Below are 16870 nucleotides of genomic sequence, written 5' to 3'. Positions count from 1 at the left end.
ATTTTGTCAAGAGGCTAGAAATCAGAATCCTAAAATAAAGGTTGTAGAAAATAGGGCGTGCAATTAGAGACTTCTGATCCTGGTAATATCACCCACTCCACTCACTGTGAAAGAAATGGGGAGATGCCCTCTCATTTTGACTGAGACAGAAAGTTCATGGGGCAACTCACCTTCATATGCTATATTGTTAAAAGGTGTTGAACATGAGGGTGTATTCTCTCATTGGAGATTTATGTTCGCAGATACTCCTCTTGGATTTTCCTGCCAGGAAAATTATCATAATTGCCAGAGAGCAATTAGGATTCTTTCGGACTCAGCTGTATATGAGTGACATACATTACTCTCTTAAGTAACTATTTTATAAAATGCTAACTTACAAATACTTTTTGTTATAAAGATGGGATGGTTCTCACTAATTATTCCATCACTTAACTGATACCTCAGCATAAACTGATGGCCTGCAGTTGATTCTTCTTAGGAGAAAGTACGAATGAAGAAACAAGTGCTATAATCAGAGATGTTTTACAAAAAATCGTAAAACATTTTGAACAAATTTTGAACTGTATAATTTTTCCTAGATTGTGAGATACAGTGAGCATCCATAATTGGCAGCCTACCTACACCATTGTACTGATAGCTTAGCATTAATATCGTATCAAAATAAAAAAGAAAGTAATTCTTCAGTTTCTGCTGCAAAACTTTTCTAGTGAGAGACACTGTGCAAATGGACAATGGCCAGACCATATATAAGAACAGAACTCGCAACCTGCAGCAACCTGACCAGGAAACCAATCCCTTATCTATAGCAACCAGCCCAGGAGGCCAGCCTGCTCCAACTAAGACCTGTAGGAAGTCAGACTGGTATCTCTACCAACTTTCCAGGTAGCCAAACAATAACTCCTGTAATAATTGCCCTAAAGTGGCCAGGACTTGATTAAAAACTGACAGCTTCCCTAATTTTTGTCTCTGCTTCTAACTTAGGACCAACTGGAGAAAGCAAGGATGCACTCCTAGTCAATCACAAGGTGTCCCACTTGTAGTTAATGTACTTACAGTTTCTCCATGCCAACAGCCTCCAATGAGAGTACACCTGAAGCCCTCTTGTTTTTTTTTCCCCCCCCAATATAAAGCTTTCATATTCTCTCTGCCAACCTTTGAGTCTCTGCCAAAACACAAGTGGTGGTGGCTGATTCCCTTGCTGCAGTAAGCTCTAATAAATATCCTTTGCTTGTTCTCATTTGGTTGGTCTTCATTTACTTCCACACTGGAATATCGTGGGACCACTTTATGGGAAGCAGTTTAACAAAATGAACATAAAAATCTCTTCAAGGCAGTGACACAGATTTGCATTCTCTCTCTGCTTCTTTCTCAATTGGACAGACTTACCCTTCAATTCAACACAAAGTAACATGCATTCTATTCTTGTAAAGCCCCATTTGTTAACCTTTCATTTCATATCAAAGCTGTATGTATGCTCTGATACTCAAATCTTTAATTCATTCTGCCTTTGTTCAATCTGTTTACCTCCATTTATTTAGTGTTTTTAAATTTTCATTTTAAGCACTATGGTTTCCTTTTTCTTGAATTCCAGTTGGTTTCTTGTCATACCTATACTTGATTCTCACCTGCTGATATTCCTTGTCTGTTGTATGGATTTCATTTTGTTGATGCTCATATCTACTCTACATCTTTGAGGACTTCAAATTGTATTTTAATGCAGTTTCAGATTGGTGTATTATTTCTAGTTCTTTGGGCATACATTCTTCCATCTTTCAGGTTTACTGAATGAGTGTATTAGTATCAGGTTTCTTTATTCATTGTGGGAATGGGATTTGAGAGAACATCTCTTGAGATAACTTTTATTTTCATATCTTTTCTCCCTCTTGTTCCGTGGGTCCATGATTATCTCATTCAGATACATCCAGATTTCAAAGATATGTCTTATATTAGTAGCTCAGACCTTCACTCCATCATAATATTCCGCTACAATACCATCAACTTCACATACACAACAATCCATTTCTCAGTTCCCAGTTACTGTTTCTGCCAAGAGTACACTGAGTAAGTAGTTAGTAGTTTTCCTATATTCATTGATGAGAGTGTAGGGGACTTTACGCTTTCCCTCTATTGTCTGAAGGTTTGATAATTTGAGTCTCTGGAATAACTATGACAGAAGACAGATTAACAAGAGAAAAGGATTACAAACGTATTACATGCATAGTAGTCCTACAAAATATGAGACTCAAAGAAAGACCAAATGGTTAAAAGCTTGAATAGCATTTTGAGCTGCAGAAAGAAATACGGTCTTCTCAGCAGGGGGAGGTGACAAAAGTTCTGGGAGGATGAGGGGAAGAACTATAGTGGGAACAAAAGTTACCTTGTTACGCAGATAAAGTCTTTTCTGAATAGCAACCCTCAGAAGAATTAGGTAAAAAAAAGTCTAGCTGGGCATGGTGGCTCACACCTGTAATTGCAGCACTTTGGGAGGCCAAAGTGGGTGGATCACCTGAGGTCAAGAGTTTGAGACCAGCCTGTCCAACATGTAGTGAAACTCTGTCTCTACTAACAAATATAAAAATTAGCTGGGTGTGGTGGCATGCACCTGTAATCCCAGCTACTTGGGAGGCTGAGACAGGAGAATCACTGAACCTGGGAGGCGGAGGTTACAGCGAGCCGAGATCATGCCATTGCAATCCAGCCTGGGGGAGAGAGTGAGGCTCTGTTCCTCAAAAAAAAAAAAAAAGTCTGCATGGGCATGGTGTCCTGGGCATGGATGGATGGAGATCTTGGTGTCTTATCTTGCTGAGTTAATCTTCTTCACTTAATGTAGATTCTAGAAAGGACTTGACAACAATTGCATTCCTTTTGTAGGAACTTCCCTTAATCAGATAAGGGAAACTTCAGAGAAAGCTCCTCCCCTGTCTGGGAGAGAAATAGGATTGACAGAAAGGGGAGTGGGGCAAGGTCAGAGAGACCTTGGTTCTGAAGCTACTTCTTTAGTTCAAAGTACTCAGCCTGTAAAAGTGCCCTACTTCAAAGTGTCCTGAGCCCCAGTATGAGGGTGAGAAGGGTGCTAATTCCTAGCTTTATATAGGGGACTTGGTTCTAGTCCCTCATCTTATGTGGACTGTAATCAGTTTCATTTTCATACAGGAGCAAATGCTGGACTTCACTACTAATTTTGATGCTTAGATTCTTCTGTTACAGCCTTACCACATAAGTCACTAGTCACCTCTTAGTTTCCTATTCTATTTCTCATCTAGAGAGTTTTTTCTTTGTGTTAGAATGTGTTTTTATTTTTAATATATTTTATTTATAATATTTTTGTTTGGTATAGATAAAAGTGGTCACTGCTGGGCGCGGTGGCTCACGCCTGTAATCCCAGCACTTTGGGAGGCTGAGGCGGGCAAAGCACAAGGTCAGGAGATCGAGACCATCCTGGCTAACACAGTGAAACCCCGTCTCTACTAAAAATACAAAAAATTAGCTGGGCGTGGTGTTGAGTGCCTGTAGTTCTAGCTACTTGGTAGGCTGAGTCAGGAGAATGGCATGAACTCAGGAGGCGGAGATTGCAGTGACCAGAGATCACACCATTGCACTCCAGCCTGGGCAACAGTGCAAGACTCTGTCTCAAATAAATAAATAAATAAATAAATAAATAAATAAATAAATAAGTGGTCACAACCTGCCTGCCATATTAATAAACGGTTCTTTGTCAGTCCTATTTTTTCCTGGATGCCAGTCAGCATGATTTTAGCAATACTTTTTATCTTAAGATAATTTCTTTTGAGTAGAAAATTATTTCAGAGTAATTTTATTTAGTTAAAAGTACATACTTTCTGTGTACTGCTTTCTGGCTGCCAAGTGTAGCTTGGTTAAGACAATAGGCTTTGAAGTCAGATTTAGGTTTGAGTCCCTGGTTTTACCTCTTAATAATGATCTGAGATTTGACAGATTAATTAGAGATTTTCAAGCCTCAATTTCCCCAGATATAATGCGGGAATGATGAAATACCTATATAATAGGATTAGAAGAACTATATAACAAATAAATAGGACTTAACCTGGTGCATAACACACAGCAACCCACACAATGCACGTGTTCTTGTGCCACTTCTACTCCTTTTGCTATTATTGTTATATTCATGCTAAGACCAGATGTTTCCATTCTACTGTTTTGTTTCTTTTTTAAACAATTGTGTCTTTCAATCTCCCACTCTGTTGTTTTCTTCTTGGGTTTTTTGGCTATTAGTTTGGTAATTTAAATCTGGCTATGAACATTGGGACATTCAAAGCTTCACTTCATATTTCAATAGCTTTTTTATTGTTTGAAAGGAAAAAGGACGAATAATTTAGTACACAATAATGGTTTTTGTAAACAAAGGACATTTAATCATAGACCAAGGTATATTTTTTTCATAGGGGACATACGTCATAGAAATAAATATTGATATGTAACTATGTCTCTTTATTAATAGTCCGTGGAAGGCCATAGTTCACAGAATAGTATACACCCAATGACAGATACACAATGGAGCTTGATAAATGTTATTGCTGTAGTCTTCTCTGAGATTTTGATTTAACTTTGTGATCAAATAGACTAAATAAGTAATTAATGAAAATAAGTAATATTCCTAGGGATGGAAAGACAGCAGTAGTAAAGATTAGATGTTATTTTTAATCTCAAACTTATAAAATTATGACCTTTGAGGAATATTTGGTTTGCTATTCAAGTGCAGAGTTATTGTAGGGCTGGTGTTTGCATTCTGATTTCATTATGAAAAAGAATACTTGTAATTAAATGCCATAATACCCCTTATGAAGGACAACTTTTAATGCCTATGACTCTAATAGTATCTGGTTATAACACAATCTCATGCAATCTGGTAAAATCACATTATTTTACAAAGATGCTATAAAGTAAAGCATACAGACACATATACTGTATCCTTTAGGTCATGTCTTATTATTTTGCTTCCAGATTAGCTTAGGGGAAGATATTATGTGTTATTTGTCATTTCAAGAGCAGTCACCATTTGCTGAGCTTTTCATCTTATAGTGAATTCTGTTATTACTCTGTACTAATAATGATATGTTCCTTTTCGTCATGAGATATTTACTCAGAGGAAAGAATGTGTCACTACACATTTTATTACAAAACATACAAACTATATGATTTTGCATTTAGATTTATAAAAGTGGAGAGAAAGTGCTTTTAGAAACATATATTTGGTAAGTTCTACAACATTTGATTGTATATACCTGTGGCTATTTAAAAACTTGATTTTAATAGCTCTACTTTATTATAGTGAGCAAGATATGTTTAAGCCAAATTAATCTCAATTTTAGTGAAACAATGACCTTTGAGTTTACAGAAAACATCTGGAGGAAACAGCTGGATAACTGATCAGGTGTTTTTTCAAGTAGAAGTGCAATGTGGTGCTCCTGTGGTACTGTTTAGAGATTTTTAATTCTCACATCATGTAGCACACAGTGGTGCTATTAATTAGAAACTGATGGAAAGTCAGAAATAAATCCTTATGTCAAGCAGGATGTCTTACATGGAGGAGATTCAAAAGTCATGCAACTTTCTGAAATTGAAATGTTCAGGGTAACAGCAAGGATAACAGACTCCCTGCTACCAAGTCAATATTTTCCAACTGCTAAATGTTAATTTCTTTAATACCTAGTTTCTCTCTTAAATGCGTAATATTAAAATGGACTTTCCTAGCCTCTAAAAAATTAGTGATGCAAAAAAAGCTATTAACTTCTAACTGGATCTGTGCTCTTTACACTTGCCCCAGTACAGTGGATAATTTCTAGTACCAACCTTTCCTTATCTACTTCACTTGTAATGTACATGCCTGTCAATGCCTAGCCTGATTAACTGATTTTTGTTTTTTAGAGTTGGGACACTCATTAGAAATGCAAGATCTCAGGCCTTATCTCAGACCTACTAAATCACAACTTGCATTTTTACTATATCGATGAATGATTTGTCTGCACGTTAAAGTTTGAGAAGTCTTGCCTTGACACCATGGCTGCACATTAACAAGCTATGGAGCTCTAAACACTGTTACCTGTACCCCATTCTAGTGGAACCAAATCTTTGGATGTGAGGTCTGTGGGGGCTAGGCATCTGTATTTTTTCAAAGCTCCCAGGTAAAACTTAAACTCAAATTGTCTGGTAGATGACCATCTACGTCAGAATGAGATAACAACGCTTGTGTAAATGCACATTCCTAATCTTTCTCCAGAGATTTGAATTCTTAGCCATAGTGTAAGTGGTTGAAAGTTCCCAATCTATCAGCTCACAGCACACAGTAAAGCTATTGCCTTGTTAAAGCTGTTGTAAAAAATCTGAGCTTTCAAAGGATTAACTTTGAAAATTACATTATTTTGTGTATAGAAAAATATATCATAATTCAGGTAGGGAAGAAAGCCTTCAGGCATGTTTGGTCAAGGTTAGATGTCCGTTTTTCTAAGATTTTTCCAATTTTGCTTCCTCCAGTACTAGAGTCATCATTAGGTAGAAAAATGCCTTCAGCACTCACAGGGCTCTCTCATACCTATTAAAGGAAAAGAGAGCATTTATTTAGAAGGCTTTTTTGGTTGTTTGTTTTGTTTTCAGAAGAATCAGGAAATTTATTTCCCAGAAAGTCTCAGCAAATATATTATTCGTGTTGTCTTTAAACCAGATATGGTGACCAAACATTTTGCAATTGGCTTAAACTGGCTGGGAACTTCAGGACTGTTACTATACAGGGAAAAGGCAAACTCTACTAAAGGAAAGCCAGGTTACCTTTGGCAGAAGAGAAAGGACATTGATGCTGTAGAGGAAATCAGCAGGTATTCATTCTATAGCTGTTTTGTTAAATGTACTTTGCAGAATTAGACTTTATAAATAGCCATACTTTTATAAAACATTATACTTGGAACTAAATACAAAGTAATAATAACACAGGAACATGCATACTTTAGAAACAACATACAAACTAAAACTATATATAATTTATAACAATAAATTAATGTTCAAAGAAAATGTCTTCACAAAAAAGCCTGAATATCATATTCATCTCTAATTAAAACATAACTAAGTAAAAGAAAATTGTTTCTCAAAATTTTACTCTTTTTTAATAATGAAAACTGATTTTGCTTCTTTCAGTGCATATTTAAATTCCAGTCACAGACTCAATTTCAGCATCTTAAATTTTATAATACGAATTCTATGTTACATTTGAGATAATCAATCATGTTTCAGTGTAATCCACATTGCATAGGAGACTTTTATTATGAGCATTATCGTTGTAGTATAGTAAAGTGTATTGTTAATGAAGCATGGAAAAGGAATAATTTCAACTAATAGTCATATATGTCAAATTTCAATTAGGACTATGTTGGAATCCAAAAAGAAAGATGAGCATATAAATTTAAACCTTTGACCTTCAGCATCAAGTACAAGGTCTGAGAGGAAAATTAAATTATTTTGATGTAGAATACAAATTTGAGTAAATTAATGTGTTCGAAACTCTCTTGACTCTTAAATTGGATATGATTTTAAAAATTTTTATATACTTGCAATTTACAACTTTGAAATGTTTACTTTTATTCCATATATTATAATATTAATAAATGAAAAAACAACAAATTCAACACAAGCTTATTGTGTGTCTACTGTTAGGCAATGCACCAATAGATAAATTACTGGTCCTGAAAGTGTCTGATGAAACAGATCAGGCCTACAGTTTTTAAAATTATTGTCATTTTTCAAGAATACTTAGTATCATTAAGTGTCCAGTGAATGGTCACTTTCCCTTGATTGATATATAAATTTTTTAAAAATTGAAGTTGGTTTATTTGAGTCAGAATCCAAATAAGATTCACACATTGCATTTGGTTGACCTCTCCATTCATTATATCTTAATTTATTGGGTAGCTTTCCCTCATTGCAATGTTCTTCTTCATAAAGTGGGTTCTTTTTCTTATGGAACTTCCCACATTATCAATTGTTTTTATTGCATACCTATAACATTAATATTTTATAGGTATTTTTATATGTTTGTGTTTGTGCTGTTGAATAAAAAACATCTGTAATGTAAGGCATTTTCCAACTCTAAGGATTTCAGATTCTCTGAGATAGAAAGTATGCTTCTAAGATAGCACAGCAGAGTATAGAAAGAGCATTGAAATATTAGTCTAAAAATTTTGATTTTCATCAATATTCTAATTCTGTTAATTATGGGGGTGATAGAGTTAGTTAACTACTGTGTGCCTCAATATACTCATCTGTAAAATGTAGGAATTAGGCTTGATGGTACTCAGTATCCCATTCAAGTCTAACATTTCTTGATAGCATACATTTTTTGACAAATGAATGAAAAGGGCCATCTTTCCTATTGGAACAAAATTCCTAAGTTATCATTTATATATTAAACTTTTAAAAATTCTTTATAGTCAATTTGGACCAACAGCTATTTAATATAATTCAAAGGAACAAGGACTAAATCATATATAAATGTTAATATTACCTTCTTCTATAGCTCTTTCATTTGTGTTCTATGAGTTTCACTTAGAGTTATTATAGGGAAATTATGAAATATAGATTAATGGTTGCATTTTTATGCTTTTGATGTGTTCTTTAATGAGGTATGTGCTGTTTTATATCTTACATCAAAGAGACATCTGCTAGAAACCTTCTTATCATACATATCAAGTGATTTTTGCTCTAATAAGCATAATCAACTGAAAAATGGAATATGGTATCTCTTTTTCATGCCAATGAACTTATCTTATAAATTTGGTTCCCATTTTGAAACATAGTTTTTAATTTTGCACTTTAAATTACTTTATTAGACATGCCTTTCCTGAAGTAAACTTAAATGGTATATAAGATTAGAGAAACAATCAGAAGATACAAACGTCTAACACCTTTATAGGTCATAGAATATAGTTCATGAAATTGCCATAATAGTATCACCTCCATCATTAATATAGTTTCTCTAGGAGCTATTGATCACTTTGGATTTAGTGTGTGTATTTGCAGTCACTGAAAATCATTAATTTGATGAAATAGACAAAGTATTCTAAACTTAAAATGAGGTATCAATATGAGTTAAATAATAGCCTAACCACAGCCACCATATAGATTACCAGATTTCCTGACTTTCACCTCCTCTGTCAACACTACAGCATTCCTCAACCTATGCAAGCATGGTTTAAAATCAAATTTTCCGTTCAGTAAATCACTATGAAATTTGTGAGCATTTTCTGCATCTGTAAAGTAAGTCAATGAGTCATAGACAAACTATTTAACACTGCATTTTGGGCACTATGAATAAAAAATAGAGAAGATAGGTATTTATAGATGTCAAATCACAGAATGAACTAAAATAGAAGAAATAGGGCCAACGTTTTGCAATTTAGCATTCTATTTTTTTGTATGTATACATGAGTGTTTTATACAAACTATTCAGAAATAGACCAGAACCACAGTGCCCAAATTCATAATTTCCCTTAGTAAGCATAGTGAAGTGTCATAATTAACAAACTTATTGGAAAATATTAAGATTGAAACAGCAAATATTAAATAATTTATCCAGGCAAATGAGCGAACTGTTCACTAGCATGGCAATTATTGCATTATTTCTGCCATTACTGAGTGTAAAAAATCCAAGTAAAAGAATTAACTGAGCTTTTCACTTAAAAATGACAATAAAACATCACTAGGGTTTAGTATGTGAAATTAATGGCTGTTTTAAGCATAAAAAATACAAAAAAAATGCTGTTTAAAATAGTTTTCTTTCATATCTTTTAGTAACTTCTTATGTTAATTGGTATTTTTAAAACTAGACTATCTACTAAATTAATAGAAATTTAGATTAAATAGGTTATCCAGAAAATAAAAATCAAATCCATAACTGATATGGTTTAACAAAACACACATGCACACAAAGGCTCATGAGGCCTAGGTTCCAGTTTCAGTCCTGACTTTTACTTGCCTTCTGAACTCTATCAAATCATAGCCTTTTTGATCTTTATTTCCCTTATCTTCAAAATGAAAGAAATTGAGTAAAAGAATACCAAAGTCACTTTAAAATAACAAAGATTTCATTTTTAATAATATATTTTACCGTTAATTCACAAATCATTTTCAAGATATACCTTCAAAACCATTACAATAATGTACTGTATCTCCTATTTTTCTGTTTTAAAATTTTACTAAGCCTGCTGTGTACCAGTCATACTTCTAAATAAAACTTCTTGCTTTAGATAATGTATTGTTTTTAATTCCAACTAAACAAATATATTCTTTACCATTAATACAAATATGACCTTTAGTTATGGGAATATTATTTCAATTGCCTGTAGCATGTTGCATTTAATTGTTGATCTTTTTCTGTGTCTGGGCATTTCAGATAAATTACTAAGTCAAATGTTGACATTTGAATTACAATTTCTCCATGTCTCATTCCTACATATTTTGGGGAAAGACTTTGAGAATCCAAAGGATAACAGTTTAATCTTACTTCTGCTTGACCTTGGTTACTTCAGCTCAGAAGAATATACAGCGTGTCATCAATCTCAATTCCTAAATTCTATGCCCTTTATCTCATTTCTTATATAATAAATTGGTTTTTATACTTATATGTCTGAAAAATGACTTGAGAAGAAGAGAAAGCTGGGGCAAAAATCTCCTTTTAAGCAAAGAGTAAAGATTCTCAAAAATGTAAGGAATAAACTTGAGAATGTCCTACATTGAAGATGCTTTTGTTAAAACAGGATGTAGAAAAACTACAGAGTACAAATTTTTAACACTTTTTTTTCTTTTTATGAATGAAGACATAATTAAAATGGGTCATTTAGTCATGTATGAAATAGCATCACTGTATGGCTAAAAGATGGTCTCCCAAATAGGTATGTGTATTCTATAAAGTGGCAGGTACTATATATATATATATCTAAAGTACAGAAAAAGTATCAATATGATAGACACCCTCTTTATTTACTTAATACCTACTGACCTTTATTACTCCTCAGTTATGTCAGGCATAACCTTCACAAACCTGTTCTAACAACAGTATTTTTTATCTATGTGATTGTAAACTTCATCTTTCCTGGAAGCCTGAGTATTTTCCTTCAATCTATGCTATTTTTCTTAAGTCATTATTTAAGAACACATATCTCTCCTATCTGTCTACCTGTCTCCTCCCTAACTCTATTACTTTTGCTGTTGCCACCACTATCCTTGTACTGATCTAGGGACCACTATATATATATATATTGTTCCTTATTTGCTGAACTCTTTTGCCTTTCTCCATCGTCTGCCTAACTCTAGGTCCCTTTTCCCGACATCCTGAAAGCAGATTGTTTCCCTTCGATGGCACTCCCAAATCATTTGATTAGTGTTTACCACATGGGCTTGAGCTCGACAGTGTACTTACCTACCTCATCCAGCATATGCTCCTGGAGATCAGGTATATTCAATCCACTTGGATCTCCAATATCTAGAATTCTGCTTTGCTTACTGTAGACACACACACACACACACACACACACACACACACACACACACTTCTCTAACAAAGTCAATAATTAAGCCATATTTTAGGAAGAAATCTCTGATTACTTAAGTTTCCAATTCTCTCTAAAGTTTGTCATTTTCTGGAGAAAAAATAACAGGTTTCAAGGTTTAAATAGGTTTTAGCCCATTTATTGAATTATATTTGAACGTATTGTTTTTATGTACTACTGAGATGAGCTCATTGTCTAGAAAACTCTACTTGATCATGAATAATTGTCTCATCTTTTCCTGCAAACTATAATGTAGTTTTTTTTAGTCCACTATATTCTGCTAGAGCAGTAATTGTTATTTAGAATATATTTGTGGAAATTTTAGTGAATAAATAACCAATGCAAAATCATTTTACTTGCTAGAAGAGTGACCATGCAAATATCTTTTTTTAAATTAAAAATATCCAGGCTTCAATTATCTGTAAATATAGTTGCCATCATGAAATTTAAATATTCATATATTACTGAGATATAAACAAAAAAATACAAGGAGAAACAATATGAACAAAATAAATTATCTTCCCATAACATTTACCTTTGGGGCCTTGAAATTATGCTAATGCACATAAACTGTAATGTATCTTTACAAGAAACAGTAAATCAAAAAAGTTTATCAAATGTCCTTATTCTAATCACATAAATAATGAACTATTTTAGTGCTAACACACTGATATTTCTTATATAGTGTCTTTGTTATACAGTGTATTCACAGCCTCCTCAATTTATTTCTGTATTAGGAAAAAATAATCGGCCAAATGCTATTTTATGTGCTTTCCTCTTCTTCAACTCAACCATAGTACCTGAGTTCCAGCCAAAGTCCTACCTTTCCATGTTGAGATGAGCAGGATGTTTTTCAACATTTAATTGTAGACATTTATATTTTAAAATATTCACTATAATTTTGGATACATTTGAATTCAGCTATTTATTATAGTCAATATATTATTTGGAAAAATAAACATAATTAGAACAAAGAAATCATTAACAATTTATTTTTTGAGTAGATTTTTTCTCTGTTGTATTTTGCAGATTGTCACATATTACACAGAAGTGAACTCATGAAATATTCAAACTGTACACAGATTTTATGGACATCATTTATGACTGCTGTACTATTTGGACTCAGTCTAAACTTACTAAGGTCTTTTGAAATAATAATGCCAGCTAACAATTATTTAATATTTATATGAGCCTACACTAATCTCAGTGTTTTGCGTGCATTAGCTTATGTAATTTTTATGTCCAAGGTCCTTGGCACTATTATTATTCTTAGTTTACAGATGAAGAAACTGAAGCAATAAAAAGCTTCATTTTGGTTTTTTTTACAAACCCATTGGTAAAAAACCAACCCATCAAACACCGCCTCCTCCCGTCTCCTCATATAACTGGCTGGTATCACCTCCTCTCAGGCAGGCAGAATTCTAGATGCCCTGAAATAATTTCATGGTTATTTTTTAAATAGGATTCGGCCTTTTTAAATGTGTTAGAAATAAAAATCAAATAAAATCTTTTATTTCATATAACAATAATAGAATCATAGTTATACTTGTAATGCTCAGCTCTTTAGTATAAGAACACCATATTTACTAAGTTAATCTTACTATTTCCAGAAAAAAAATTTAGACTTTTGAATCTATGTAGGCAAATTACCCATCTAAAAGTTCAATCCATAAGCAGTGCTATTTCTAAATTTCTTCTGGAACAATTTAACTGTGGGAGGAAATTTTGAAAATGTCAGTTTTCTAAAGTGACTCATTTTAATAGCCCAACTGGACAATCTTGCTTGCAATCATCTTTAATATGTTAAAGCATCATAGCTTTCACTACAAAGTTCCAAACTACAAGTTCACCTATTTTTATTATAACAAGTCAGACGGTAAGGAAACCCCTTCAGAAGCATGACACCAAAATAATTTTTCAGGGACAATTGTTGCTGACATCTTCAATCAGTCATTTTTGAAGATGTAAGGCCATCACCCAGTTTTCTTTTCTTACTTTTTTAAAAAAATACTTTGAGAAATTTATCTCCCAAATCTCTTCTACTACCTTTTGTTTTACTTCTTTAAAATTTTCTCTGAAGTCATTTATATATTTCAAGGTTGAAGATGATGGTTCTCTACCATCTATGAAAAAGATAACCTTTCTGCTTTTGTCAACTGTAACTTTCTCAGAGCTAACAGGTTTTGTGGGTCTTTTACCAACTTTTATTCTAAGTTCAGGGTTATGTGTACAGGATGTGGAGGTTTGTTGCATAAGTAAACGTGTGCCATGGTGGTTTGCTGCACAGATCATCCCATCACCCAGGTATTAAGCCCAGCATCCATTAGCTATTCTCCTGATCCTCTCCCTCTTCTCACCTCCTGCCCTCCGACAGGCCCCAGTGTGTGTTGTTCCCCCTCATGTGTCCATGTTTTCTCATCATTTAGAGCTACCAGTTTCAATTTAACATTTGAAGTTTTATAAAGTACATTGACCTTGAATTATAAAATTTAACCCTTCTATGTACTGTATTGTTCTTTGTGTATGCATTTGTGTCTCATGAAACCTGGAAACATTTAAGTGTTTGCAATTCAAAACACAAAATACTCATCTTAAAACTTCCTTTAATAAAATTAACAAAACAATATAAAAGTCTTAATTTTACTCAAAATGTTTTCTAGATGAGTGAGGAAACAAGGAGTAGAAATATAGTGGAGTGTGAGTACCATTTTTGTGTTTGGCAGAAGGCAATGCTTGGGGAGAAAAAGTTAAAAAATTAAAAGGTCTGGTCCAAGGATTATAAATAAAATATCTACAAGGGCCAGGCAGGAGCATACATAAAGCAAAAGGAATTGGTAAAGGTTGTGACAAACCAAAGAGTTACCTCACTTAAGTGTGGTAGCTCCATCTAATTGTGGACCTGTAGGAAAGTAGATTCATTGTAGCTTGATCTTCTCACAGTCGAAGAGTCGCATGATATCCAGTGTTGTGTGAAACAAATCTTTATGTTCAAATTCTTGTAACTAATCCAAGCATTTTTCAACTCTCAGTGGACCAATCAAAATGTATCTGCTGACCAAACCTACCCCCAAGAATGTGGCCAGTGCTTTATTTAGCAATTCAAGATGACAGATTGAAGGAGGCAGCTGAGGGCTAAGAAAAAGGAGCCACCAGTAGGTATGAATTCTAAAGGAATAACCAGTATGTTTGAGCAAGAAGAGGGATACATATTTTTTTTTTTTTTTTTTTGGGACGGAGTCTCGCTCTGTCGCCCAGGCTGGAGTGCAGTGGCGGGATCTCGGCTCACTGCAATCTCCGCCTCCCGGGTTCACGCCATTCTCCTGCCTCAGCCTCCCAAGTAGCTGGGACTACAGGCGCCCGCCACTACGCCCGGCTAATTTTTTGTATTTTTAGTAGAGACGGGGTTTCACCGTTTTAGCCGGGATGGTCTCGATCTCCTGACCTCGTGATCCGCCCGCCTCGGCCTCCCAAAGTGCTGGGATTACAGGCGTGAGCCACCGCGCCCGGCCGAGGGATACATATTTAAAGCTTAAAGGAAATGAGAGCTTACACCTCCAAATGAACATTCTATATTAAAGTAGATATTTTGACTGCTTGTTTTTAATAATACTGATATTTATTTCTTAAAATATTTTGGTGTATACTTTTCAAACACTTTAGGAAAATTGTATTAATTATATGCTACAATGAGTCTTATTATTTTTTAATCAACAACCTGATTTATCATTTTCAACATAGTGAAAATAACAGTTATTGGGTGCATACTATTTAGTAAACTCTGTATTTGGTACTGAGATAATAAAGTTGAAAAATACACTTATCTGTTGACTCTAACTATAGAGTAGGAAACTGACAAATAATAATTTTAAAAATGTGTATCCCACAGTAAATGTGGTAATAAAGTGGTGTGTAAGATATAGCCATCATTCATAGGAGAGAGTGATCATTCTTCTGAAAGGGTGACTAGGTCTCTTGGAAGCCATAAGCAGTAACTTTGTTTGAATGACATTTTATAGGATGACTAGAAGTTTCTCAAGCAGACAAGGAAAGAAGAACTTTTCATGAATTCAGAATAGTGCTATGTAATCATACTTCCCATTACCTAATATGAGTTCAGTAATTCTGTTAGTTGCTTCTTATCCCAATTAAGTAAAATAGAGAATTCCTTCAGGTAGAATACACTTTTAAATCTGTTCCTAAAACATAATATCTGATTATTGTTGAGAGAAGGAAAACTTACAAAATCTTGTTCAAAAAAGTAAAATATGTTTTTAGAACTAGCTTTCTTCAAACCATAATGTAGTGCACAGCCTCAACCAACTAATTGTTTTTCAGAAAGAGTTGTTCTAAGGTATTACTCTTGACCTGCTTGTCCTCACTATTTATAATATAATCCAAGTCTATTAGCCCAATATCCTTCTTTCCATCGTGTCTATGACTCCTGCAACACTGCTGTTTTCTCTGAGCATTATGGACTTGAGCAGTCCTACATGATCTGCACTGAGTCCTATGGCACATCCTGCTTCTTGATGTCCTCACTTATTTTGATGGAGAAATCCTCTCCCTAGGTAAACTAGTCCTGAAGACTCACTGCTTAGATAGTAGAGTCTATGTCTCATGAGTTAGATATTGGGAAGGGATTCAAACAAGACTGGTTCACAGAAAGAGCTACAAGTTGATATCATGAATATACTTGTGTTGAACTCATTAAGTCGTGTGTGGAAATCATCACAAGTTAAATCATGATATTATGGTATTGCTTAAGATTATACCTCTTAATAAGTTTATATGAATTTCAAGAGTAAAGATTTATTTCTATCCCTTATATCTTCACCTTTCTCTGCTTAAATTTTTGTTAGTCTATTAATATAATTATAGTCTAGGAGGAAAAAAGGTCAAAAGTTTCATTTTATTTAAACAGAATTATTTCTTTATTTTCCAAGGTTTTATACCAGCTCTACAACAAACATTGAAAGGTAAAAAAGGATGGCTTTGTTTAACTGGTAGCCTATGTCAGAATGAGAGGCAATATTATTTACTTCTAATGTGAAAATTGAGTTGGAAGGATTTAAGAAACAGATTGAGGTTTATAAGATTGCTACCTTTCAAATACTCCCTACTGTGTCTTCAGTATGGTTTTGGTATTTTGCTTGAAGAATAGTAAATTAAGAAGAAAAATTTTAGTTTGCTGTTATTCATATACAAAAACACAGTTCTAATTTTCATTAACCCAAAACTAACAAACAAAAACATGGTTTGATTTTGAGCGGTGGTATTAATAATCTTACTTGCCATTAACT

The 16870-nt window shown here is 33.9% G+C and overlaps 2 long non-coding RNA genes across 2 annotated transcripts in view, besides 1 other annotated feature; one reads left to right on the top strand and one right to left on the bottom strand.

The window, feature by feature from the left end:
* LOC105376755 (uncharacterized) overlaps nucleotides 1-16870 on the top strand; it is a 673333-nt gene that overhangs the window by 633767 nt on the left and 22696 nt on the right. The gene's annotated exons all lie outside the window — the stretch shown is intronic.
* Nucleotides 2560-3061: an enhancer, noted in NCBI's record as "NANOG hESC enhancer chr2:195627401-195627902 (GRCh37/hg19 assembly coordinates)". NCBI's record gives its function as "activates a minimal SCP1, AML or CMV promoter by ChIP-STARR-seq in primed H9 embryonic stem cells {active_cell/tissue: H9 hESC(primed)}" and the evidence as "EXISTENCE:reporter gene assay evidence [ECO:0000049][PMID:30033119]".
* The window catches only part of LINC01790 (long intergenic non-protein coding RNA 1790), a 30841-nt gene continuing 18273 nt past the window's right edge, over nucleotides 4303-16870 (bottom strand). The window contains exon 4 of the long non-coding RNA NR_110223.1: nucleotides 4303-6568. This is a non-coding gene — a long non-coding RNA (long intergenic non-protein coding RNA 1790). The remainder of the gene's footprint in view (nucleotides 6569-16870) is intronic.

This window comes from Homo sapiens, chromosome 2 (genome assembly GCF_000001405.40).
Source record: "Homo sapiens chromosome 2, GRCh38.p14 Primary Assembly".
In the NCBI taxonomy this organism is placed as follows: domain Eukaryota; kingdom Metazoa; phylum Chordata; class Mammalia; order Primates; family Hominidae; genus Homo; species Homo sapiens.
This window is presented reverse-complemented; position numbering and strand designations above follow the sequence as displayed.